At 53.4% G+C, this 23,985-nt stretch overlaps 1 protein-coding gene and 2 pseudogenes across 1 annotated transcript, besides 1 other annotated feature; 2 read left to right on the forward strand and 1 right to left on the reverse strand.

Annotated features, from left to right (window-relative positions):
- FAM86KP (family with sequence similarity 86 member K, pseudogene) lies at positions 470-14,133 on the forward strand (annotated as a pseudogene).
- Positions 560-689: a silencer, noted in NCBI's record as "silent region_15267". NCBI's record gives its function as "represses an Ori minimal core promoter by ATAC-STARR-seq in GM12878 lymphoblastoid cells {active_cell/tissue: GM12878}" and the evidence as "EXISTENCE:reporter gene assay evidence [ECO:0000049][PMID:35858748]".
- ALG1L14P (ALG1 like 14, pseudogene) lies at positions 13,661-17,553 on the reverse strand (annotated as a pseudogene).
- A 110-nt stretch (positions 17,554-17,663) lies between these two features.
- FAM90A26 (family with sequence similarity 90 member A26) lies at positions 17,664-23,985 on the forward strand. The gene is made up of 7 exons (NM_001358418.3): positions 17,664-17,777; positions 18,787-18,993; positions 19,268-19,424; positions 20,372-20,550; positions 21,045-21,244; positions 21,703-21,811; positions 22,460-23,985. The coding sequence occupies exons 4-7, from the start codon at positions 20,428-20,430 to the stop codon at positions 23,420-23,422; spliced, it is 1,395 nt and encodes a 464-aa protein (NP_001345347.1). The 5' UTR covers positions 17,664-17,777; positions 18,787-18,993; positions 19,268-19,424; positions 20,372-20,427; the 3' UTR covers positions 23,423-23,985.

Raw genomic sequence — 23,985 nt, forward strand, 5'->3', positions numbered from 1 at the left:
GTGCTACGACATAGTCAACGCCCCGCCCCTGCCCCGCCTCCTGAGCCCTTCCCTGGGTCTGGCTTTAGCCCCGCCCTAAGACCTCTCTCCTGGGCTCGGCTCTGAGTCCCGCCTCCTGAACCCAATGGCGTTTATCCCCGCCCTAATGCCCGCCTCCAGGACTCTTATCCTGCCCCCACGCAAGGCACTGCCTCCAGGACGCCACCAACCTGCACGCTTCCGAAGCCCAGCTTCCAGGATCGCCCTATCCTGGCCCCGCCCCAGGAACCGCCAACCTGGACTCTCCCCAGGACCTGCCCCAACGTCGCTTATCCTGGCCCTACCCCAGGCTTCGCCCTCATGACGTTCATCCTGGCCACACCCCAGGCCCCGCCCTCCTAACGCTCATCTTGGCCCCGCCCTAGAGTCCGCCCCCAGGACGCACCTCCTGACCGTATCCCCAGGCCCCGCCCCCTCTCTGCCCCCGCGCACTGCCCTCGGCCCGCCCCCTCTTCAGTCCAGGCCCGGCTTCCTCCAGGTCTCCAGGCAACGCTGCGGCTCCGCCCACGTCATGGCGCCCGAGGAGAACGCGGGGACAGAACTCTGGCTGCAGGGTTTCGAGCGCCGCTTCCTGGCGGCGCGCTCACTGCGCTCCTTCCCCTGGCAGGTGGCCGGCGGGGCGAGCGGAGAGGCCCGCGGGGGTCGCGGGAGTCCAGGGGCAGACGGGATGGGTCTCGGTGCTGAAACCCCTGGCGCTCCGGCCACGTGCGTTCCTGGGCTCTCCCCGGTCAGGGCCGCGAGACCCGGTCCCCGTCCCTGGGGCCTGGCCAGAGTCGCTCGCACCCCTTCTGCCCCGCGAGCTGGCGGCGGAAGCTGGGGGCGTCTCCACCGCCCTGGGGGGCAGACGCGCGTTCGGTGTGGGGCACAGTTCACGATCATTTTCACGACTTTTTAAAGGCAGTAATCGTTCTGGTCACTGGGACACAGCTGCGCTCGCCCATTCTAAAAAGTCAGCGCCCTCAGGCCCGCGGGTAACCACCGCCTCCTGAGCGCGGTGACCAGGTCACAGGCTGTCTCTCATGCCTCAGTGTTCTCATCTGTATGTCGAGCACTGCACAGAATCGGCTCATGCGCTGAGGCTTTCACGCCTGTGATGGAAGAGACAGAGAAGGGGGTGGCCTCTCCTCTCCCTGGGGACCTGCCATTCTCAGCATAGGCATATGGCAGGCAGCAGCCTCCCTTCTGCCAGCAGAGGGGCTTAATGCACCCCGCTCCATTTGTAATTCATGTGCAGTGAGCTCACTGGGATGAGTCAGTTTGGATATATATTCCTCCCTGTGTCTGCCCCATTTTATGGGGTGTTGCTTAATCATTTGCGTTATTGCATTGACATAAAATATTTAGCACTCAGGGATCATTTCTGGTCAGGAGAAATTTGTGCATTTTTAACCCAAAATAGAAACCTTCATAAAAGCATCATAGGTCTCCATTCAATATTGACTATAATTGTTCACATGCCCACACTGAATGCTAACTTGGGCTCACCCTCAACACCCACGAGGTGGGTACTATTATTATCACTCACATTTGACCAGAGGGATTGTTTGATTAGGGTGAAGTAGTTGAGAGTTCAGACCCAGGAGACAGCCTGCCTGCTTCGAATCCTGGCCCAACCCCTGGCCCTGTGTGACCTTGGGCAAGTGACTGCATCTCTCTGTGTTATTGTTTTCTTATTAACAAAATGGGGGATATAATGATACCTACCTCTTAGGGTTGTTGTCAGCGTTGAATACAAAAGCCTGCGGATCAGTGCCTGGCTCATGGTAAATGCATGTCGGTGTTAGCTAGTGTTTTATTCAGTCTCAAAATGCCTTCCGTGAGCCAGGCACCATGGATCAGCTGTACCCATGATAGATGAGGCTCTGCTTGCATGGGAGAGCCAGAGAATAAACAAATAAATGAATAAACAAGAAAATACCAGATTAGAGTGGCTTTAAAACCAATAAAACAGGGAAATAGTGAATGGAGCAACTGGGAAAAAGTGTCAACAAAGTCAGGGAATCAGGGAAGCCTTCCCCAAAGGGGTGGCATTTGAACTGAGGCCTGAGTGGTGAAGCAGCCAGCCATGGGAAGGGTTTGGGGAACAGGATATGCAAAGGCCCTGTGGTGGAAATAAGCCAGCTGTGGTTGAGGAACAACAGCAAGGCAGCCAGTGTGGCTGGAGTGGAGTGAGCAGGGTGGGCCAGGGGTGAGGGAGAACAGGCCAGAGAGGGGGATTAGCAGCAGGTCTTGTAGGGCCTTTTATGGCATGGAAGGAGCTCTGAAGCAATGAAGTGCCTTGCCGTGTGTCACATACCAGCCGAGACAGTCTGCCTAACTCGGGAGCCAAAGCTCGCTGGTGGGCTTGAGGCCCCTGTAAGACAGCAATGTAACCCAGGCTGGTATGGGCACATTCTGCATTTCCACTTAAACTCAGATGGCAAGCCCATCAAACCTTGGTGCCATGGCTGCCCTGGTAATTCCTGGCTGACCAGTGTAACCAGGGAGCTGGCCCATGACCTGGGTGGCAACTGAGTAGCCAGGACTAATGCGGCCAAGAGTCAGCCTTCTTCCTGTGACTCATCCAGGTGCACTCTGCGACATCTGAAGGTCAGGCTTTCAGCCGCTGTGGCTTCCACTTCCAACTGGCTCCACGTCCCCAGGGAGGGATCACATAGAGCTTTGCCAACACATTCTATTGCGTGTTTTAATGTTCCTGTGAATGTGCCCTTGAGATTTCTCTCTCTCCCATCCACACAGAGCTTAGAGGCAAAGTTAAGAGACTCATCAGATTCTGAGCTGCTGCGGGATATTTTGCAGAAGGTAAGAATCCCAGAGTCCCTGGGACTCATGACCCTGCCGCCTGAATCTCTCCGGAAGACCTGAAAGAAGCAGCACAGGTGTGCTTGTACCCTTTAAAAACAGCCCTCTTCAAAGAACAAAACCATTGAGTCAGCACTGCAGGAGGGTGTCAGCACCTCCCACAGCTCCTGCGCTTTCGTTTTCTATCTAAGACTTAGACAAAGACATCAGAATATACAAAAATCTGCAAGAGGGGGGAAATCTAGGGAATGTTTTTTAAACCATCCACAGCAAAAACAGAGATGACAGGTGCAAAACAGCTTCTAGCATTTGGTAGATGCTCAGAGACTTTCTTTTTGCATTTATGAGGCCTGTCCCGCCCACTCCTGTCTCTTCTAGACCTAAATGGGCCCTTGCTTTGCCCAGGGTAGGGTTTGGACTCAAGTGCATCTGCATGCAGGTGAGAGCCAGGATCACCACCCGGCCCAGCCACAGGCTGACCTTGGCCTTGAGGGCCAAGTGCAGATCACCCTGCATCCTGGGTCTTCACCTTCGAAGGGCCATGAGCCCTTCTGAAAAGACAAAGCAATAGACTCCCTCCCAGAAAGAAGTGCACCAGAAGAATACATTTTCCATACAAACTCAGGGGAGGCAGACATCCTCCACCCTCACCCACCCAGCCCAATCCTAGGAGCCCCGGGGAAGAATTCCTGTGCTAGAGGTGAATCAAGATTATCCACGTGGAAAAGATGCAGCCACAGCAGGGAAGACTTTTGGGGCAATACAGTAGGTCAGGGCTTCGAGCATGGAGATACCTGAAGTTATCTCGCACCTTGCTCTGAGTTTCACCCTGAGCCTCACTCTCGTAGGTGGTGAAGCATGAGATGTAGGGAGAGCTGCTTTAAAACCCAGCACAAGGCTGGGTGCACTGGCTCACACCTGTAATCCCAGGTCTTTGGGAGGCTGAGGTGGACGGATCACCTAAGGTCAGGAGTTCAAGACCAGCCTAACCAACATGGCAAAAACCCATCTCTGCTAAAAATAAAAAAATTAGCTGGGCATGGTGGTGCACGCCTATAGTCCCAGCTACTCGGGAGGCTGAGGCAGGAGAATCGCTTGAACCCAGGAGGCAGAGGCTGCAGTGAGCCAAGATCGGGCCACTGCACTCCAGCCTGGGCAACAGAGTGAGACTCTGTGTCAAAACAAATGAAAAACCAGCACCAGCATGAAGAGCCTGTGTATTGCGTGGGGTACATTGCTGCCCTTGGGCAGAATCTGCATCCCTCCCAGCCAGCAGGCACTGCGGACCGTCTCCTCCCTCTCCTTCCAGGCTCCTGTTTTCCCACCGTCCCCCCTCCTGCTGCACAATTCCCTCTGCCCTCCTTTCCAAGTGCCAGCCCGTGGCCACCTCAGAGCTTGCACAGGCTGTTCCCACTGCCTGGAACTTGCTCATCCTGCACTTGGCTTCTCTCGGCTTTAGCTGGAGTCACCCTGAGATTCCCCTCCCCTCCATCCTGTCCCCAGGGACACACGCTCCAAGAGAGCAGTTGCCGAGTGGGCCTTCCCGCCTCTTCCATAGAGCCAGACAGTTGGCGACTGTCCTTACTGCAAACCCTGGTTCACACTGGCTCCCGTGGGAGGGAGGTGGTTTGGGCCCACATGCCCTGTGTTCCTGCTCAGAATGGGCATTAGAAATGCTGCCATAGCCTGTGCCACTGCAGTGGAAGCATTTTTAGGAAATGGCTTATATCTTAAGACAAACTTCAGATGCGTGGGGCCAGAACGCTTTGTCCATCTGCATCTTTGCTGAGGGATTGGGTAGCCTGGAGTTTGCCCTCTGCTGTGTTGGCTTGAAGCTCATAGGAGACTTAAGACGGGCTCTCGAGCAACCAACGTTCTGTCCTTTGCTGTAGACTGTGAAGCATCCCGTGTGTGTGAAGCACCCGCCATCAGTCAAGTATGCCCGGTGCTTTCTCTCAGAACTCATCAAAAAGGTCAGTTATGGGCAGTGTCCACCCAGTAGCCGGACAGCATAGCCACCGGCGTGCTGCACACCCCGTCCTTCCCAGGCCCTGGGCGTGCTTTGCAAACCCCAGCATGGCAGGGGCCTCCCCAGGCAACTGGCTGCAGCTGAGTGTGACCCATGGGAGACAGTGCAGGGCGGGAAGAAGGGGAGGCCAGCGTCTCTCCCTCACTCTGCTTCCTGGGGTTTACACAGCAGCTGCTTCTCTGGGGCCCCATCTCCTAGCATATGAATTCTCATTCCTACCAGGCTGGTCCAGCAAACAGCACTGGGACGCTCACTCATACCCTCTGTCCTGCCCGCCGAAGGGTTTGGAGTTTCCTGCTCTTGTCCATCTCTGGGTTGCCCCACGGGCCACTGTTGGAAGATTTAGCTCTTGCCATACCTTTGGAACTGGTTCCTCTGGTGAATTCTCTGCATTGATCCTGCTGGAATGAGCTCTTTCCTGACTGACATACGATGGATTTTATTTTTTACTTATTTATTTACTTTTTTGAGACAGTCTCATTGTGTTGCACAGGCTGGATTACCGTGGCACAATCTCGGCTCCCTGAAACCTCTGCCTCCTGGGTTCAAGCAACTCTCGTGCCTAGCCTTCTAAGAAGCTGGGACTACAGGCACACGCCACCATGCCTGGCTAGTTTTTGTATTTTTAGTAGAGACAGAGTTTCACCATGTTGGCCAGGCTGGTCTCAAACTCCTGACCTCAGGTGATCCGCCTGCCTCGGCCTCCCAAAGTGCTGGGATTACAGGCATGAGCCACCACACCTGGCCTAGGATGGATTTTAAAGGTGGGCCCTAACATGCAGGGTTTGACATGAGGATGTCGAGAGGCCGTTCCTTAGTAGGCAGTAGCAGACCTGCTGAGTGAAAGGGCCACACTTTCAGCAAATAAACAATCCCCTGCTTCTCCAATACCTGCTTTCTCCCTAGTTCTCTCCAAAAGGGTGCATCTGTGGTCACCAGCAGGTCTGCCCTGTGCCACCAGGAGAGGGCAGCAGTCACCCAGTGTACCCTGCTGCTGCCCTGAGAATTGTAGGACGGGGCCAGCTGTGGAGAAGCAGCCTGCTGACAGCCACAGCCTGCAGCATGGGCCGCCCTCACAGTTCTGCCTGGGCTCACTTAAAATCACCTTTCGTTTTCCTCCTCTCTGTGTTTGATCCAAACACAGAGCTCTCTGTCATGGTCACGTGGCAGCTCTCACGGAATCCTTGTCTCCTGCCCTAGACTACACCTAACCCTACCCTCTCAACACCTCTTGTTGAAGGCCCTCCCGTCCAGGTTTCCCTACCAAGTGGAATTATTTTTTTTTTAGAGACAAGATCTCTGTTGCCCAGGCTGTCCTCGAACTCCTGGGCTCAAGCAGTCCTCCCACGTCAGCCTCTAGAGTAGCTGGAACTATTCGGCACACAACACCACACCCAACGAAGTGAATATTTTATATACCAGCTGGCCGGTATTACACCATTCCATCCCAAATCTCCCCTCCAAACTTGGTGAAAATCATCTGACCATTTTTACAGATTAGAACGAAAGCAAACAAGCTCTCACTCTGTCTGCCCCCAGCACGAGGCTGTCCACACGGAGCCTTTGGACGAGCTGTACGAGGTGCTGGCGGAGACTCTGATGGCCAAGGAGTCCACCCAGGGCCACCGGAGCTATTTGCTGGTATGAGAAGGGCACCCTCCTCCCCCTCACAGCCCAGATACCCTTCCTGCACAGACAAAGTGAAAACGTGGGTGTGGGTTCAAATCCTGACTCACCCATTCTGCAGTCTTAGATATGAGGTCCATTAACCTTCTTTAGCCTCAGTTTCCCTGTCTGTAAATCAAGCACTTCAACAACAACAGCATGTCTCATGGGGTTGTTGGGCATTTGTCTAATAGGTGACACACACTACCTGCTTCACAAGGACCCGGTGCCCAGTCCTCAAAGAATACTTGACAGGGCTGGACATGGTGGCTCACGACTGTAATCCCAGCACTTTGGGAGGCCGAGGCTGGTGGATCTGAGGTCAGGAGTTCGAGACCAGCCTGGTCAATATGGTGAAACCCTGTCTCTACTAAAAATACAAAAATTAGGCCAGACGTGGTGGCTCATACCTGTAATCCCAGCACTTTGGGAGGCTGAGGCTGGGGGATCACCTGAAGTCAGGAGTTTGAGACCAGCTTGGCCAACATGGTGAGACTCCATCTTTACTAAAAATACAAAAATTAGCAGGATGTGGTAGTGGGTGCCTGTAATCCCAGCTACTCTGGAGGCTGAGGCAGGAGAATCTCTTGAACCCAGGAAGTGTATGTTGTAGTGAGCTGAGATCAAGCTATTGCACTCTGGCCTCAGCAATGAGAACGAATCTCTGTCTCAAAAACAAGTATAAAAATTAGCTGGACATGGTGGCACACGCCTGTAGTCACAGCTACTTGGGCAGCTGAGGCAGGAGAATTGCTCGAACCCAGGAGGCAGAGGTTGCAGTGAGCCAAGATCGTGCCACTGACTCTAGCCTGGGTGACAGAGCTCAAAAAAAAAATAAGATAAAACATAGATACAGAAAACCACAAAGGACAAACATAGCATATTGAATCATCACAAGGCAGCCACCACTTCGTAGCCACACCCGGCCCCTGGCCACCACTGACCTGTGCTCCATCGCCAGAATTCCATTGTCTCAGAAATGTGGGATGAATGGAATCCTGTGTGGCCTGAGATGAGTGTCTTTCATGCCACATGACACCCTTGAGGCCCGTGCAAGCTGTTGGCATGTCAACAGTTAGCTGCTTCTCATTGCTGAGTGGTGATTGGTCCTGTCATGGTTTATTCAGCCATGCGGTGGATGGCTACTTGTCTTCTAAGCCACTTGCCTTCTGATCGCTGGACTGACTCTCTCACCCTCTCTTGGTGCAGCCCTCGGGAGGCTCGTTCACACTTTCCGAGATCACAGCCATCATCTCCCATGGTACTACAGGCCTGGTCACATGGGACGCCACCCTCTACCTTGCAGAATGGGCCATCGAGAACCCAGCAGCCTTCACTAACAGGTGACCTCGGGGCACAGGGCAGGGCACCAAGGCAGGCTTACCCTGGTGCAGTCGAAGACACGCTCCCCTTTCTTCCCACCAGGGGTGTCCTAGAGCTTGGCAGTGGCGCTGGCCTCACAGGCCTGGCCATCTGCAAGATGTGTCGCCCCCAGGCATACATCTTCAGCGACTGTCACAGCCGGGTCCTCGAGCAGCTCCGAGGGAATGTCCTTCTCAATGGCCTCTCATTAGAGGCAGACATCACTGCCAACTTAGACGCCCCAGGGTGACAGTGGCCCAGCTGGACTGGGACGTAGCGACAGTCCATCAGCTCTCTGCCTTCCAGCCAGATATTGTCATTGCAGCAGGTAATGCCCAGCCCCGGGCATCCTGTGCAGGCGGTGTCCTTGCAGCATTATCCAGCTTTTAGCTCTGGGAAAAGGGAACAATGGATGCTGTCGGGCATGGATATGATGGGGTTTCCAGAAGAGTTACTCTGGACCTCCAGGGTGACATCAAAGGACAGCGGTGCCTCTTAAGGTGACCTTCAAGCCACAGCCCTATTGTTGGAGACAGGTATACTCCCATTACAGTGGTCACCACATGGCTCTGTCCCAGAGCCATGCCCTGTGTCCTTCAGAGACCACAGGAGAAAAACAACCACTTCTGGGACGAGGACAGGGCCCTTGAGAAAAGGTGGTGTTTGGCTGGGCCACCGAAAACCCCTCACCCCTGCCAGCACACTCAGTCCCCTCTCTGGTGGAACAGAGCTCTGCCTGTGGCCCTGGGTCCCAGCCCTGAAACCCACAGGTCCAGCGGTGGCCAGGGACACAGGCCCACCCCTGCAAGCCAGCAGACCAAACGGCAGACACCTGAAACAAGAAGTTCACGGTAGGGTCAGGCTTTCTGTCATTCAAAGCCCTCTAGATAGGCCGAGAACCAGAACTGTTTTTTTTTTTAAGGAACACCAGTGAGTCTGGAGATTTTTTTTCTTTTGCTTCGGTCTTTTGCAGCTTTCTCTACTAAGGGTTCTCCTTTTTCACCCAAGTAATTGCCTTTCAATCTAATGGCCCAAAAGGTCAAATGGCATCTAATAGTCTCATATGAGCGCTGCCTCTCTGGCCTCGCCCTGCTGCTGAGGTCAGCATGAACTGGAACTTTCCACTTGTCCCTTTCAGTAACCTGAAGTTTTCACTGTAGACGTGCTGTATTGCCCAGAAGCCATCGTGTCACTGGTCGGGGTCCTGCGGAGGCTGGCTGCCTGCCGGGAGCACAAGCAGGCTCCTGAGGTCTACCTGGCCTTTACCGTCCGCAACCCAGAGACGTGCCAGCTGTTCACCACCGAGCTAGGTGAGCCCACACGCCCACCCGGGCCTGCATGGTCTCCGAGCTGTCCCTGCAGAACTCCAGTGGAAGTGAAAGAACTGGGCGCCGGGGAAAAGCTAGGATGCCCCACACTCGCACACCATGCGGGGAACTTGGGCAGAGGCCAGTGAGCAGGGTGGGCTTGGGGCGTGGGGGGCTTGCGGCAGGAGGAGGGCAGCTCAGCACAGGAAGGGAGGGTCTGAGCCCAGCAGCCCTACTATGTGTTTCAGAGTAGGGTTCCCTAAGCCCTTGGGCCTCGGTTTCCTCATCTATAAAATGGAGGTGGTGGGAGGGGCAGTTGGGGTCAGGGCTGGACACAGCTGTGGCCTGCAGGATGCTGGAGCACAGGCTGTACAGGCGGATCTACCATGCCACTGTCCTGAGCACCCAGTCGATGGAAGACGAGCAGGGTGACTATAGAGAAGGGGAACTGGCCCCGTAGTGGGCCAGCCACTGTCCTCAGACCTGATATTTGTCAGCCCCCAACACCTGTGAGGGTGTGCTGTCATTGTCCCATCTCACTGACAAAGACACTAGGACACACAGAGGCCAAGCGACCCCCGAGCTCCCGCACACTGCAGCCCGGCTACCTGGCTCTCGTGCCTCCACACTACACCCAAGCCCCCATTTGCCACCAGCCTCTGCCCCAGCTCCCCCTGAGCATAGCCCCTCCTGGAAGCCATGTGCACAGATGCACCCGCAGCAGCCTCTGCCTGCACACAGAGACACGGACAATCCAGTGCCTGTCCACGTGGGGCAGCCCGTTAACTACAGAGCCAACAAACAAGCCAGCACACGAAGACATACTGGGTTCCACGACAGAGTCCAGCACAACCTCGCACAGGAGGCTGGCTGGGCACGGGGCTCAGGCCTGTCATCCCAGCACTTTAGGAGGCTAAGGCAGGAGGACTACATGACCCCAGGTGTTCAAGACCAACCTGGGCAACATAGTGGGACCCCATCTTCACAAAACATACAGAAACTAGCCAGATGTGGTTGCACACGCCTGTAGTCCCAGCTACTCGGGAAGCTGAGGTGGGAGGATGGCTTGACCCCAGGAGGTGGAGGCTGCAGTGAACCCTGATCTCACCACTGCACTCCAGCGTGGGCAACAGAGCAAGACCCTGTCTCAAATAGCAAAAATCAAAAAAAAAAAAAAAAAAAAAGGAAGTCTTTCTTCAGATACTTACGTGAAAAAAAACCTGCAATATCTTTTAAGTGAAAAAAACAGTGCCAAGCAGCACACATAGTATAAGCCCTCACCAACGTTTTTTTTTTTGTTTTTTTTGTTTTTTTTTTTTTTTTTTCTGGGACAGAGTCTGGCTTTGTATTGCCCAGGCTGGAGTGCAGAGGTGCCATCTCGGTCCACTGCAACCTGCCACCTCCCAGGTTCAAGCTATCCTCCCATCTCAGCCTCCTGAGTAGCTGGGACTACAGGTGCGTGCTACCACGCCTGGCTAATTTTTGTATTTTTTGTAGAGTCGAGGTTTCGCCATGTTGGCCAGGCTGGTCTTGAACTCCTGATCTCAAGTGATCTGCTGCCTCAGCCTCCCAAAGTGTTAGGATTACAGGCGTCAGCTACTGCGCCCAGACCCATTTTTGTTTAAAAACTAATAATAGTCACCCACACATAGTTATGAGTACCTATATTCCCAACTACTCAGGAGGCTGAGACAGGAGGATGGCTTAAGCCCAGGAGTTTGTGGCCACCTTGAGCAACATAGCAAGACTTCATCTCAAAAAAAAATTATCACAATCATCATTTTCACATAGGTATACCTATAGGGGAAAACCTAGAACATATATATAGCAGGCTTGTCCAACCTGCGGCCCAACACAAATCTGTAAACTTTCTTAAAACAATATGAGATTTTTTTTGTGATTTTTTTTCTTTTAGCTCATCAGCTGTTGCTAGCATTAGTGTATTTTATGTGTAGCCCAAGGCGATTCTTCTTCTTCCAATGTGGCGCATGTAGGCCAAAAGATTGGACATCCCTGATATACACGTTAACAGGTGCCATCCTTGGATGGCAGGATTATAGAGATTGCTACACCTTCATGTCTATACTACTTCATTTTCATAAATACGCATTTTCCACTCGTAACAAAAAAACCGTGATTGAAAATCATCCCGGGTCGCAGTGCCTCATGCCTGTAATCCCAACACTGTAAGAGGCTGAGGCTTTGGGAGGCTGAGGTGAGCAGATCACCTGAGGTCAAAAGTTCAAGACCAGCCTGGCCTACACGGTGAAACCCCATCTCTACTAAAAACACAAAAATTAGCCAGGCGTGGTGGTGCACGCCTATAATCCCAGCTACTCAGGAGGCTGAGGCAGGAGAATCACTTGAACCTGGGAGTTGTTGCAGTGAGCTGATATTGTGCCACTGCACTCCAGCTGGGGAACAGAGTAAAACTCCATCTAAAAAATAATAATAAAAGAGGCTGAGGCAGGAGCATCACTTGAGGCCATGGGTTCAGGACCCCATCTCTACAAAATAAAAAAATTACTGGCATGGTGACATGCACCTGTCATCCCAGCTAGTCAGGAAATGGGAGGATTGCTAGAGCCCAGGAGTCGAGGCTGTGGTGAGCAATGACTGTGCCACTGCACTCCAGCCTGGGTGAAAGAACAAGTTCGTATCTCAAAAAAAAAAAAAAAAAAAAAAAAAAAAAAGAATCATTCTGGATAATGGCTCTTCAGACATCTGTGCTTATGAGAACACCAGCCCCTTCTAAGCTTTGTGTGTGTGTGTATGTGTGTGTGTGTTTTGAGATAGAGTCTCACTCTGTCACTCAGGCTGGAGTGCAGTGGCACAATCTCGGCTCACTGCAACCTCCGCCTCCTGGGTTCAAGCAATTCTCCCGCCTCAGCCTCCCAAGTAGCTGGGATTACAGGCATCCGCCATCGTGCCTGGGTAATTTTTGTATTTTTGTAGAGATGGGGTTCCACCACGTTGGCCAGGCTGGTCTCGAACACCTGACCTCAAGTGTTCCGCCGGCGTTGGCCTCCCAAAGTGTTGGGATTACAGGCATGAGCCACTGTGCCCGGCCACTTTCTAAGCTTTGTGAGTGGATTGACTAAGCAGCCAGGTAGATGTGGGTTCAGATGTCTGCTTCTGTCCTGCTATGCCAAGGGCTGGGGCAGACGCGGGCAGAGAGTGGACAGCAGCATGGTGCCTGCTGCTAGCCATTTCTATGCAAAACCAGATTTCTGGTCCCATCCTGGAGGCCAATTCTAGGTACCTGGGTGGGCCTGGGAAGCTGTGAACAAAGTAAACTGACTTAGGCACCCTCCACCCCGCCAGGCCTGTCCTAGCAGCCCCACACAATACGCTCATGTCCTGTCCCCAAACACCGCCATCCTCAAACACGTGCTCTGTTTCCAGGCTGGACTGGGATCAGATGGGAAGTGGAAGCTCATCATGACCAGAAACTGTTTCCCTACAGAGAGCACTTGGAGATGGCAATGCTGAACCTCACACTGTAGGACTCACACACGACTCCAACGGGCTTGTGAGAATTAAGTCACTCTCGTGGGAAGAATTTTTATATGGGAAAGCGGATAAAACTTTCATTGCACTGGAATGTTTGGAAAATGTTAAATTCCAAATCAGGAACCACAAACTGCCCTCTAATAAGACATTGGCTATCTAAGCATGTGGGTGCCCCCTTTCTGCCAGCAGTTCTGGTTCTTAAGAAAATCACCATAAATCAGACATGAAAATTCTGGCTCCAAAAATAGCATTTTCTTTGTGCAAATAAAAACGAGTGTATCAAGTATGACGTTCCCCCAACGTGGACACACTTGTTTCCTCAGAAAGCCAAACCTGCTGCAGCTGCCACATCCCTGGACACACTCGTTTCCTCACAAAGCCAAGCCCGCTACAGCTGCCACATCCCTGGACACACTCGGTTCCTCACAAAGCCAAGCCCGCTGCAGCTGCCACATTCCTGGGCTTATGGTGCAGCAGGTGCTTTTTTCAAGACAGGAATCAAAGTGTAAGGAACATGGCAGAAAGGTGACACCTGGAGACCAAATGCAGGATGAGGAGTACTGCAGAGGTCACAGGGAAGTCACAGAACAGTAATACGCTGGCAGGGGCATGGGGCATGAAGAACAGAAGAAGACAGGAAGCACTTCAGAGACTCCAAAGAAGAAATCAGGGCCAACCACAGCTTCCCGGGTTATTCACCAGGTGGCACCACTGCTGTCATTTCAGCTTCTGGCCACTGGGAGGCGCTGCTTGAAAGGGTTTGCCCTGAGACTCCGAGAAGAAGCTGCGGGAAGGACAGCAGGGGCCCTGGGGTTTTAGCCTCTGGCCCAGGACTTATGTGTCCATAACCAAAGGAAGCACAGTCTGCACCCAACTCTCATCCCATCGGAGCTGCTGCGACTCCCGCAGGTTCTTCCAGAACTGGTTTAGCTTGCCTGCAGGATCAGGGAAGTTTGAGAAAAGCATCTGCAAAATACTAAAGAGCAGAGCTTACCTCATTTCCTGTCCCCACCCCATCCCAGGTCACCACCTGGCTGACCCCAGGTCCCCGACCCAACAACAACCCCTCCCAAGTCCCTAACTCCCTTACCTGGACTTGAGACCCTTCACACCCCAGCAGTGCTCCGCCTCCAACTTGACATCATGCTTTCTGGAAACTTCCCCGTGTGTCCCACTTTCCCACACTTGGTGCGCTGGAGCACCTTCCGGCCTCTACATGCTGTACGTTCCCCTGTGAGCACCCTCCTCTCGGCCTCTGGCCAACACAGTCCCACCCATCTGTGGGTAACAAGGGGGTGTGGGTGTTCTTTTCAGCCTTGCTAAACTGTCTGAATCAAGGATCACAAACTACAGCCTTCAGGCCAAATCCAGCCCACAGCCTGTGTTTGTAAATAAAGCTTTATTGGAACAAAGCCACACCCCTTAATCTACAGATGATCTGTGGCTACTTTCACGCCACAACAGAGTACCATGGTTCTGACAGAGACTGGGGGACCCAGTCTAAATGACTTCCGACCTGGACCTTTACTGAAAATCCTCCCAATCATTCTGTTGACAAGAATGATGTATTACTTTTTGCAATAAGAAACAAGTAACATTTGCAGAATTCCACCCATCTTTCAAGGCTGGTCCCAGAAGTTCCCTTTGCCCACACACCTACCTGATCCTGACAACTTCCTAAACTGCAGCCCTGCCCACCCGGCTCCAGCATCATTTGTGGAGTGTCAGCTCCATAAATCCAGAGGGCAGGTGGGGGTGTGTCCTAACATTCCCGAGCCTACTGTACCGAAACGGGACAGCAGAGTAGGCCAGCATCTGTGACTTCTGCTCCCTCACTAGCTTTTCCACCAGACCCCACATGTTACCACCCTGGCTGTGGGAAGCAGGGATCAGGGAGTGTGGCTCGGTGCCCGTCTCCAGAACCCTGCCCACCCTGGCGTGGTGGCAGACATGGTTACCTGCAGCTGAGCTGCCAGTTCCTCTGAGTCCTCAAAGACCAGGCCGTTTTCTTCATGTTTCACTAGCTCATGTAAACTGCAGAGAGAACCAAGGGAGCCTGAGAGCTGCCTGGGGAAGACACCAGACCCCTGGGGTGCCCAGCTTGCCTCCCACCCACCCCACGCTCAAGCCAGGCTGGGGGTTGGAACAGGGGGTGTGGTTTCTGGGAGCTGGTTCTTAGATTTGGCATCTGAAGCATATAAAGGTCTGGGGGAGTGCACATCAAAATGGCCAAATCAATTTGAGGAGGGAGCCTTAAGGAAGGTTTGTACGTTCTGTGCTGGATGCTCTTCAAGTACTGAAGAATTATTTTTGCATGTTTTTCTTAATTCCATGGCCATGGAACAAGTAAAGGCAACCCCCTGGGGACTGGTTCAGCACATAAAAGATGACTTTTCTAGGACACCAGATTTGATCCCGACATTCCCTGAGCTCAGCTCACATGAGGGGCTCGAATCCCTGAATCCCATCCAGGAGCCGGCTCCTGAGCAGGGGCCAAGGGCTCAACTTGTGCTGGGGCTACTGCTTCTAGAATCTCCTCTAACGCCACCCTTCCAAACACCCATCTATGCTGGGTGGAGTGAGGCCACAGTATGACACTCATTTAACTCATTCAAACCCACCATGTGAGCTTGGCCAAAAGGGACATGGTGGGAGAGAAAAACAAAGAAAACCATGTAAGCCTGCAGACAATTCCCGCCAATTCTACTCTAGGAGCAAAAGCCCCGAGTGGAGTTCTAGTATTTAAGGTGCTTTCTTTTTTCATATTAGGTTGGTGCAAAAGTTATTGCCATTTTTAATGGCAAAAACCGTGATTACTTTTGTACCAACCTAAATATAACATGAGTTCTAAATGGAAGCAACTACTTCAGTGAGGCTCAGCCCAGCCACAGTAACCACAGGTCTCCTCCTCGTGGCCTCCAGTGTGTGCTGGACTGACCGAAGGGCAGGGCCTCACTGTGGGCAGCTCACTGCACTGATTCCCCCTCAGCGGTGGATCTGTGAAGCTATCCCCAGAAAGATTCGGGTTCTGCTCCTACCACTTGAAGTTCACGGCACACACAGGCAAACAGCTCCTGAACATGTCCACCACCTTCATGGGCAGGCCCAGGCCACTGGAGGAGGTGTCCAGACAGACACCCAGGTCCACCGACCCTGCTAGGCAAGAGGGGTGGGTTAGAGCGCTGGTCTCCGCCCTGGGAACAAAAATCCTCCCAGCATAGTGAGACAACATCCCCCGAGGGGAGTGAAAATTGGATAAAGCCCCCGACATCCCCAAGCACAAGTGGCTTAAGCTGGCCAAGCAGCCACACGGCCTGGCTGGGACATCTGAAAATGTAAGTTGACACTTTTTCTACGTAACCACAATTTGTTTTTTTTGTTGTTGTTGTTTTGTTTTGAGACAGAGTCTCACTCTGTCACCCAGGCTGGAGTGCAGTGGCACAATCTCAGCTCCCTGCAACCTCCACCTCCCAGGTTTACCTCCCGCCTGTAATCCCAGCATTTTGGGAGGCCAAGGCGGGTGGATCACCTGAGGTCAGGAGTTCAAGACCAGCCTGGCCAACATGGTGAAACCCCATCTCTACTAAAAAAAAAAAAACAAAATTAGCGAAGCGTCGTGGCAGGTGCCTGTAATCCCAGCTACTCAGGAGGCTGAGGCAGGAAAATCGCTTGAACCCGGGAAGGCAGAGGATGCAGTGAGCCAAGATTGCGCCATGGCACTCCAGCCTGGGCTACAAGAGCGAAACTCCGTCTCAAAATAATAATAATAATAATAATAATAATAATAATAATAATAATAATCCACAGCACACCCACCACAAACCAGCTGTCAGTGTGAAAATAAAGCCAAATAGCTTAACATTTCTAAAGACTAGCTGGGTCCAGGCATGATGGGTCACGCCTGGAATCCCAGCACTTAGGGAGGCCAAGGCGAGAGGATCACTTGAGGTCAGGAGTTTAAGACCAGCCTGGCCAACATGGTGAAACCCTGTTTCCACTAAAAATACAAAAATAAGCCAGGTGTTGTGGCGGGCTCCCATAATCCTGTAATCTACTTGGGAGGCTGAGGTGGGAGAATCGCTTGAACCCAGGAGGCGGAGGTTGCATGAACTGAGATCGTGCACTCCAGCCTAGGCAATGGAGCAAGACTATCTAAAACAAAGACTAGCTGGAGAATCCTGCCAGGAAAAGGCCCTCGGCCGCCAAGTGCTCTGCTCACTCGAAGCTGGAAGATGCGGCTCTAGAGACGTATCAGGTCCAAGCCACGACTCCCAACTTGGAGAAATCAACGGGGAAAGAGACAGAGGCAAAGGAGAACCATCTCACTGGGAGAGGCGACGCTGTTTGACACATCGTCCCTGCACCTCCCAAAGCCACTGCCCTCCCACACCTGGGCAACAGTGGCCCCAACCCCAGGCCCAGCCCTCCTGCAGGAAGGAAGAGGGCTGAATAGAAGGTGTGGCAGGCTGAAAGGACGTGGCCTCCTCAAACCCATTGGTAAAGGGCCTCTGGGGCCACCTGGCAGGGAGGGGCTGGCACACCAGGAAGTAGCCTCCTCCCGGGAGTTGAGCCAGAGCCCAGATCCTCTCCCCAAGTGGCCTCCAGAGCCACCTTTTCAGAAAAAGTACATCCTGCCCACCCCTGCTCCCCCTGCTTAAGGCCCTGCCTCCTCCCTGAGCCTCCTGCTGGCCTCTCACCTAGAAGCGGGGGTAGTCCTCGGCCCTCCAGCCAGGGGGTGCAGACCTGGATGTGCTGGAAATGCTACTGGTGGATGAGGCGGCTGTAATACTCCCTCAGAGGCCCTTTGCCTTCACAGAGAAGAGGAGACACTGCCATGGACCCGTCTCTGTCCCTGCCACATGGCCCCAGGCTCAAGACACTCCCCGCTAGGAGGGATCCTTTTCCCAGAAGCTCCACCCCTCGGCAGCTCTAGTCAGGCCCCATCTGGGCCCTTCCAGAAGCAACCCAGGAGCCCTGAGACCTGCAGGGGTGTGTGCACCCTGACCCTGAGGCATAGCCCTGCACCTGCAGCCAGCTGGCCTAGGGCTGCAAACATGGCGGTATAAGCACTGGCCTGGCACCCGACCGCCCACTGGGTGGATCCAGCCTTCTGTCTGTGTTGTGCGCAGGGGACACGAGGACTCCCCCTTCCCTGGCACAGCCCCCAGAGCACATGACGCAGGTTCCAAGCCGCCCCTGCCCTGCCACAGCCTCCAGAGCACATGGCGCAGGTTCCAAACCACTCCTGGGAGCCTAGAGGCCAGAGGAGGGAGGAGAGCAGGACCAGCAGCTGGCCCAGACCCCGCCTCTTCCCACACCGCTTCCGCTTTTCTCCCTCCTCACTGAGTCACCTTGAAAGGGCTCAGCAGCAGTAACTGTGGGACAGGGGCTCTTCCGTTTGAAAAATTAAAAGAGGCTTGGTTAAGGTACCAATGACATGGCCGGGCACAGTGGCTCATATCTATAATTTCAGCATATTGGGAGGCCAAGGAGAGTGGATCACCTGAGGTCAGGAGTTCAAGACCAGCCTGGCCAACATGGTGAAACACTGTTTCTACCAAAAATACAAAAGTAAGCTGGGTGTGGTGGGCACCTGTAGTCCCAGCTACTCGGGAGGCTGAGGCATGAGAATTGCTTGAATGTGAGACGCAGAGGTTGCAATGAGCTGAGATCGCACCACTGCACCGCAGCCTGGGCGACAGAGACTTTGTCTCAACAAAAAAAAAAAAAAAAAAAAAAAAAATAGACACCAATGACGAAACAAGAAAAAAAAAAAGATGCTTGGAAACTATTGAAAAAGTAGAAAGCTTGGTATCTACAGATTCACATCTGGGCTCCCTGCCCTGCTGTGAAACCCTCTGAGCCTCAGTTTCCCACATGTAAAGCAGTATAAGACCCTATGGCAGAGAGCTGCAGTGAGGATTAAGGAGACAAGATCGTGGGAAGCACAGGGTAAAGGCGGGGTGCCCCTCCCTGGACTCCAATGCCTGGAGTCGCAAGACGAGCTGAAAAAGGAGCCAGGCACTGAAGGAGAAAGAGGTGTTGACTTTCTTCATCTGTGTTTCCCAGTGCGGTCCAATTCACGGTGGTTTCCAAGCGCCTCCTGGAGAAGAAAACACATGAGGGTGTGGTCAGGGATCTCTGCTGACAGACTTACCTTGGGGAAGAAAGAGAAGCTCAGAAGATGGATCATGGCCGTGACTGCATGTCAAGGAGAATCTCCTTGATGACACTGAGGCCCACGTCGAGATAGAGTAAATATGGTCCAATTAAAAGGTGTCTATTTTACCACATTTTTTAAAACAAAACACAAAAACAAAAAAGATGGAAAAGAAGACAGGGGTACAGGCACCAGTGTTACATGTCTGACGGGGAACATCTATTCTTCAAAGCTTGCAGCTGTACACGTAGGTTTTAGAATGTCTGTCAGCAGTGGACATGATCTTAGAGTGGGCTGTGCAGATAGACCTTTCCAGGTCATGTAATTGGATTAAGTTAAGTGTAATTAACGTACATGTAACTGATTAGGTTAGGGTACGTTCCACGTCAGGTGACCAGAGGCAGTATAAAAGGCCGCCTGGAAAGTAGAGGTCCCTCTCTGCCCCTTCCTCCGTCTTCCTGGATGCTGCATCGCTTCCAGCGGGGCTGCTCCAGCACCTGCCCATCTCAGCGCCAGCCGGGGAAAGAAAGTAGACGTGTAATTTCAGGTTAGTTTCACTGAACAGTTGTTTGTTTCACGCAATCCCTGAGGGGTGGGGGGGAAAAGAGACAAAGGAGGCCGAAAGAAAGCGATCACACTGGGGCTTGCTGATGGGGTAGGGTGTGCTCTCGTTACTAGTAATTCTTGGAACAGAAAACGAGAAAGCATTTCCGTCTCCATGTGTGGGATAAGACCAAGGTGGGAATGCGAAAAGAAATGTACTGCAGCATGCTGAATTGGTGGGTAAATGGAAAAAGGACTTTGGAAAAAAGGGTGGTTTGCCCTTCAGCCGTGTAAGACGTCGATACGATATGGCACTTGTTCACCGTTTGTTTAGATGAATTCGTGTGGCATGTGTAAAATACCAGAAAAATAAATAAAGAGGGGCTGGAGCTAAAGCCAAAAAGATAGAACAGGAAAGACCATCACCTGCTAGTGTGGTAGAGAGGAAGATAACTTCTCTCTATGAATTTGTGTTTGGAAGTTGCCTAATGAAATGGCAGGAGTAGCGATTCAAGTTGTGACAGGAAGCATCCCTTATCCCATATTTCAAACAGACCTGCCAAAGGGTGACACACGCCATGCCCTGTGGCTTCGATCATTCTGTCCGTCAAGGGAGATAGAGTCATCGTGTCTTCTACCAGAGTGAATCGTGATAGACCTAAGTCCAGTTCTCCAGAATCAGTTGTTAGTTTGGGGTTAAAAGCTCAACTCCCCATACCTAGGCCACAGGCCCTGTGGCAGGTGAGGTTTACTCTTGCACTAGGTAAACATGGCAGAGGAACACACAATATCTGAGGATGCACACAGCACATTGTGTTCCACAGATTTGACCGACTGGTGGTGAGGTCTCCTCATGACCACACCGGCAAGGAGTTAGCGGGGGGGCTACCTGTGGGTGTGTGAATATCCAATGTGCTTAACCATCGACGTGTGTGTTTGTGTGTGTTTCAGGTGACCCAAAAATCAACCCCTGAAAAAGGCGGTCATAAAACCCCCAGGAGACGAAGATGATGGCATGTCGTGACCCCAAACCTGGGGCAAAGAGACTGGTGAGAGCCCAGACCCTCCAGAAGCAGCGGAGAGCCCCAGTTGGGCCAAGGGCTCCCCCGCCCGATGAAGAAGATCCCAGGGTAAGTCTAGCCCTGGAGCTCCTGTGTATCGGGGTGGGGGTGGGGGCCGGGGGAGGGGGTGTCACACGGTCCTCAGAGACTGGGTTGGATTCCAAAGAGTTCTGTCACCACCACCCAGGTTGCTTTTCCCATCCAAGGTGGGCGTGGCTTGGGACCTCCTCCCCGGACCGATAGACCCCTTGAGAGACTCTTGAGGGCAACCTCCCTTTCTACTTAGAGTCCTGTGTAGCCACGTTTGGCTGTGCTGTTGACATCGGGTTCACCATCGTGCCCCTTAGAACCTTGAGTCCTGCCTTTTAGAGTTCCTCCGTCACATGGGCTTTGGGAGGGAACATCGCATCCGAACTCTCTCAGCACTTAACGGCCCCCATGCCGGTGTCCCCTCTTTGGAATCCTTATTCAGCTCTGAATTCACAATCCGTCTCAATGTTGACGTGGGATCGCTGCCTGTGGCTTCAGCTCACTCACCGACATCACTTCCTTTCCACCCACAGCTCAAGTGCAAAAACTGTGGGGCCTTTGGTCACATGGCCAGAAGTACCAGGTGCCCCATGAAGTGCTGGAAGGCAGCCCTGGTTCCACCGACCTTGGGGAAAAAGGAAGGGAAGGAAAACCTGAAACCATGGAAGCCCCAGGTTGAAGCAAACCCGGGGCCCTTGAACAAGGATAAGGGAGAGAAGGAAGAGAGACCAAGGTGAGCAGTGAGAGGGGTTTTCACCACTCTTAGGGCACTGCCTCCTAAGGACATGGTGTCTGTGCACCTGCACACCGTGTGCCTTTCCGTCTCCGGGCCAGGGAAGCAACGCTGCAGAGAAATAGACCGGAGCTCCGTGTCCTCCGGGGTTCCACACCCAGGAGCTCCTTTGGCTCTGGGAGATTCAGGGACAGGGAGAGGCGGGGGCGCTTCGTGCAGGTTCCCCACGACAGGGGGAAAAGCGATGGAATCCAAATCACAGTCCTTAGTTGGGAGGCCTAGAGGGCCACCTGGAGGATGGGAAGGTTGGCACGTGAGGGAAGGTGCAGAGGCGGAAAGGGCACCAGATGTCCATTTCTGTATCACAAAACACGGAATGGGACTGAGCCCCAGACAGGGTTCTCCCTATCTCCTGGGGAAAACCAGGGGCCACGGCCTGACCTTTTTCTGTTCTGCAGGCAACAAGACCCGCAGAGGAAGGCTCTCCTCCACATATTTTCCGGGAAACCTCCAGAGAAGCCGCTGCCAAATCGAAAAGGATCCACGGAATCTTCTGTTTATCTGAGGGTGAGTGTCACTCTGGGCCCCTGGTCTTTTTGTCTTCTAGGTCACGCTGGTTGATTTCCTTTCAGCTTCCCGTCTGCGGGAGGGAATCGGGGAACCCCTCTTTCTTGCCTTCTTGGGGTCAGGGACTCCACGATCCTTCCAGGTCAATTTGATTCCAGGCGAAGGCATCTGAAGATGCCGTATTTCCTGTTGTTTTCTTTCTGTCCAATTATGGCAAGCCTGCCAACAACATGTTCCTAGCGGCATGAAGAAATTTGTCCCTCAGAGGCCACAAACATGGAGAAGGCTAAACCCTGGAAAATGCATGTGTTCAGAGAAGACGTCCTGAGTACCCTTGAGCCACCAACCTGCCTTCAGAAGGGCATTAGTCCCTTCCACTTCATGGAAGGCTGAGTGAAGGCGCTTTGATCCAGTTAATGCCCAAGACGCCATCTTTTGAACAATGATGTGCTTAGATCAGCTATACATAGCTCGAGAGCGCATCTTTCATGTGTCTTGTCCTGATCAGCACTCAGGTGGAGGGTCTGTCCCTACTTCCAAGGACCGTAAGAATTTCATGGCGTGTGCAGCCTGTCTTTGGATGTGGTTGATTTTCACGTTGGCTCCATGCTGAGGAGCTTCTAACCTGTGTTGTTTCCTTCCTTTCAGGTTGCAAGCGGGCCAATGCCGGTCCACACAACCAGTAAGAGGCCGCGTGTGGACCCTGTCCTCGCTGATCGCTCAGCTACCGAAATGTCTGACAGGGGCTCCGCCTTGGCTTCACTGTCTCCCCTCAGAAAAGCCAGTCTGAGCTCCTCCTCAAGTCTTGGACCAAAGGAAAGACAGACAGGGGCTGCGGCCGACATCCCTCAGCCTGCAGTCAGACACCAGGGCCCCGAGCCTCTCCTCGTGGTGAAGCCGACACACAGCAGCCCTGAGGGTGGCTGCCGAGAAGTTCCCCAGGCTGCCTCCAAAACCCACGGCCTGCTCCAGGCCATCAGCCCCCAGGCACAAGACAAACGTCCTGCGGTGACCTCACAGCCCTGCCCACCAGCCGCCACACATAGCTTGGGTCTAGGCTCCAATCTCAGCTTCGGGCCAGGAGCCAAGAGACCTGCCCAGGCTCCGATTCAGGCTTGCCTGAACTTCCCCAAGAAACCGAGGCTGGGTCCCTTCCAGATCCCCGAAAGCGCCATCCAGGGAGGTGAGCTGGGGGCCCCGGAGTATCTCCAACCTCCGCCGGCAACAACCGAACTTGGACCAAGTACGTCGCCCCAGATGGGCAGGAGGACACCCGCCCAGGTGTCCAGCGTCGACCGGCAGCCTCCGCACAGCAGACCTTGCCTGCCTACTGCCCAGGCCTGCACCATGTCCCATCACCCAGCGACCAGCCATGATGGGGCCCAGCCTCTCAGAGTGCTCTTCCGGAGACTGGAAAACGGACGCTGGAGCTCCAGCCTCCTGGCGGCCCCCTCATTTCACTCTCCTGAGAAGCCGGGAGCCTTCCTCGCTCAGAGCCCTCATGTCTCAGAGAAGTCTGAGGTTCCCCGTGTTCGTGTCCCACCGAACGTCCTCTATGAGGACCTTCAGGTTTCCTCCTCCTCAGAGGACAGCGACTCTGACCTGGAGTGAGACTGCAGGTGGCAGGGGCTCCTTGGCCTCCAGCTCCTGTGACTTGGAGGGGACTGTGGGACTGAGGAGCTCAGAGCAGAGAGCAGACTCTGTGCGGTGACTCCGAAGCTCCCCGGCTGTGGCGCTTCTGTGGATGTGGGAGCCCAGGCCAGGCAGGGAGCAGATGCAGGGATCTGCCTCATTGAATTCTGGTGAGGGACATTGTAGTTCGCATGGTTCTCCGGAAACGCGCCAGGAAAAGCTTCCGTGCCAGAGAGATTCGTTGCCTCAGAAACTGCGTGACGCGCAGGAGTCAGACTTCCGCTGGGACGTCAATAGGAAACTGGGGAATTACTGTGTATTTGCTCTCTAGATGACTGAATAAGGGAAAAGTTAGGGAACCCTGAGAGGTGCAGCCCTTCCGCTGTGCCCCGCCCTGAGAGCAGTGTTTCGGACGCTGGGAAGCGTGCTGTGCAAAGCGCTCTCGGGGTCTTTCCTCAGCCTCGAAAACTGGGCTCTGGAATGCCTTTGTAAATAGGTGTGTTGAATTTGTTTGGAAGTGAATAAAATTCTCAAAAAGATGA

This window comes from Homo sapiens, chromosome 4 (genome assembly GCF_000001405.40).
Source record: "Homo sapiens chromosome 4, GRCh38.p14 Primary Assembly".
In the NCBI taxonomy this organism is placed as follows: domain Eukaryota; kingdom Metazoa; phylum Chordata; class Mammalia; order Primates; family Hominidae; genus Homo; species Homo sapiens.

Bases quoted from the DNA above. Each gene is read 5' to 3' on its own strand.
- FAM90A26 (NM_001358418.3), top strand. From the start codon at position 20,428: ATGATGGCATGTCGTGACCCCAAACCTGGGGCAAAGAGACTGGTGAGA. The intron at 21,245-21,702 runs GTGAGCAGTGAG...TCTGTTCTGCAG, and splicing joins GAGAAGGAAGAGAGACCAAG to GCAACAAGACCCGCAGAGGA. The intron at 21,812-22,459 runs GTGAGTGTCACT...CCTTCCTTTCAG, and splicing joins AATCTTCTGTTTATCTGAGG to GTTGCAAGCGGGCCAATGCC.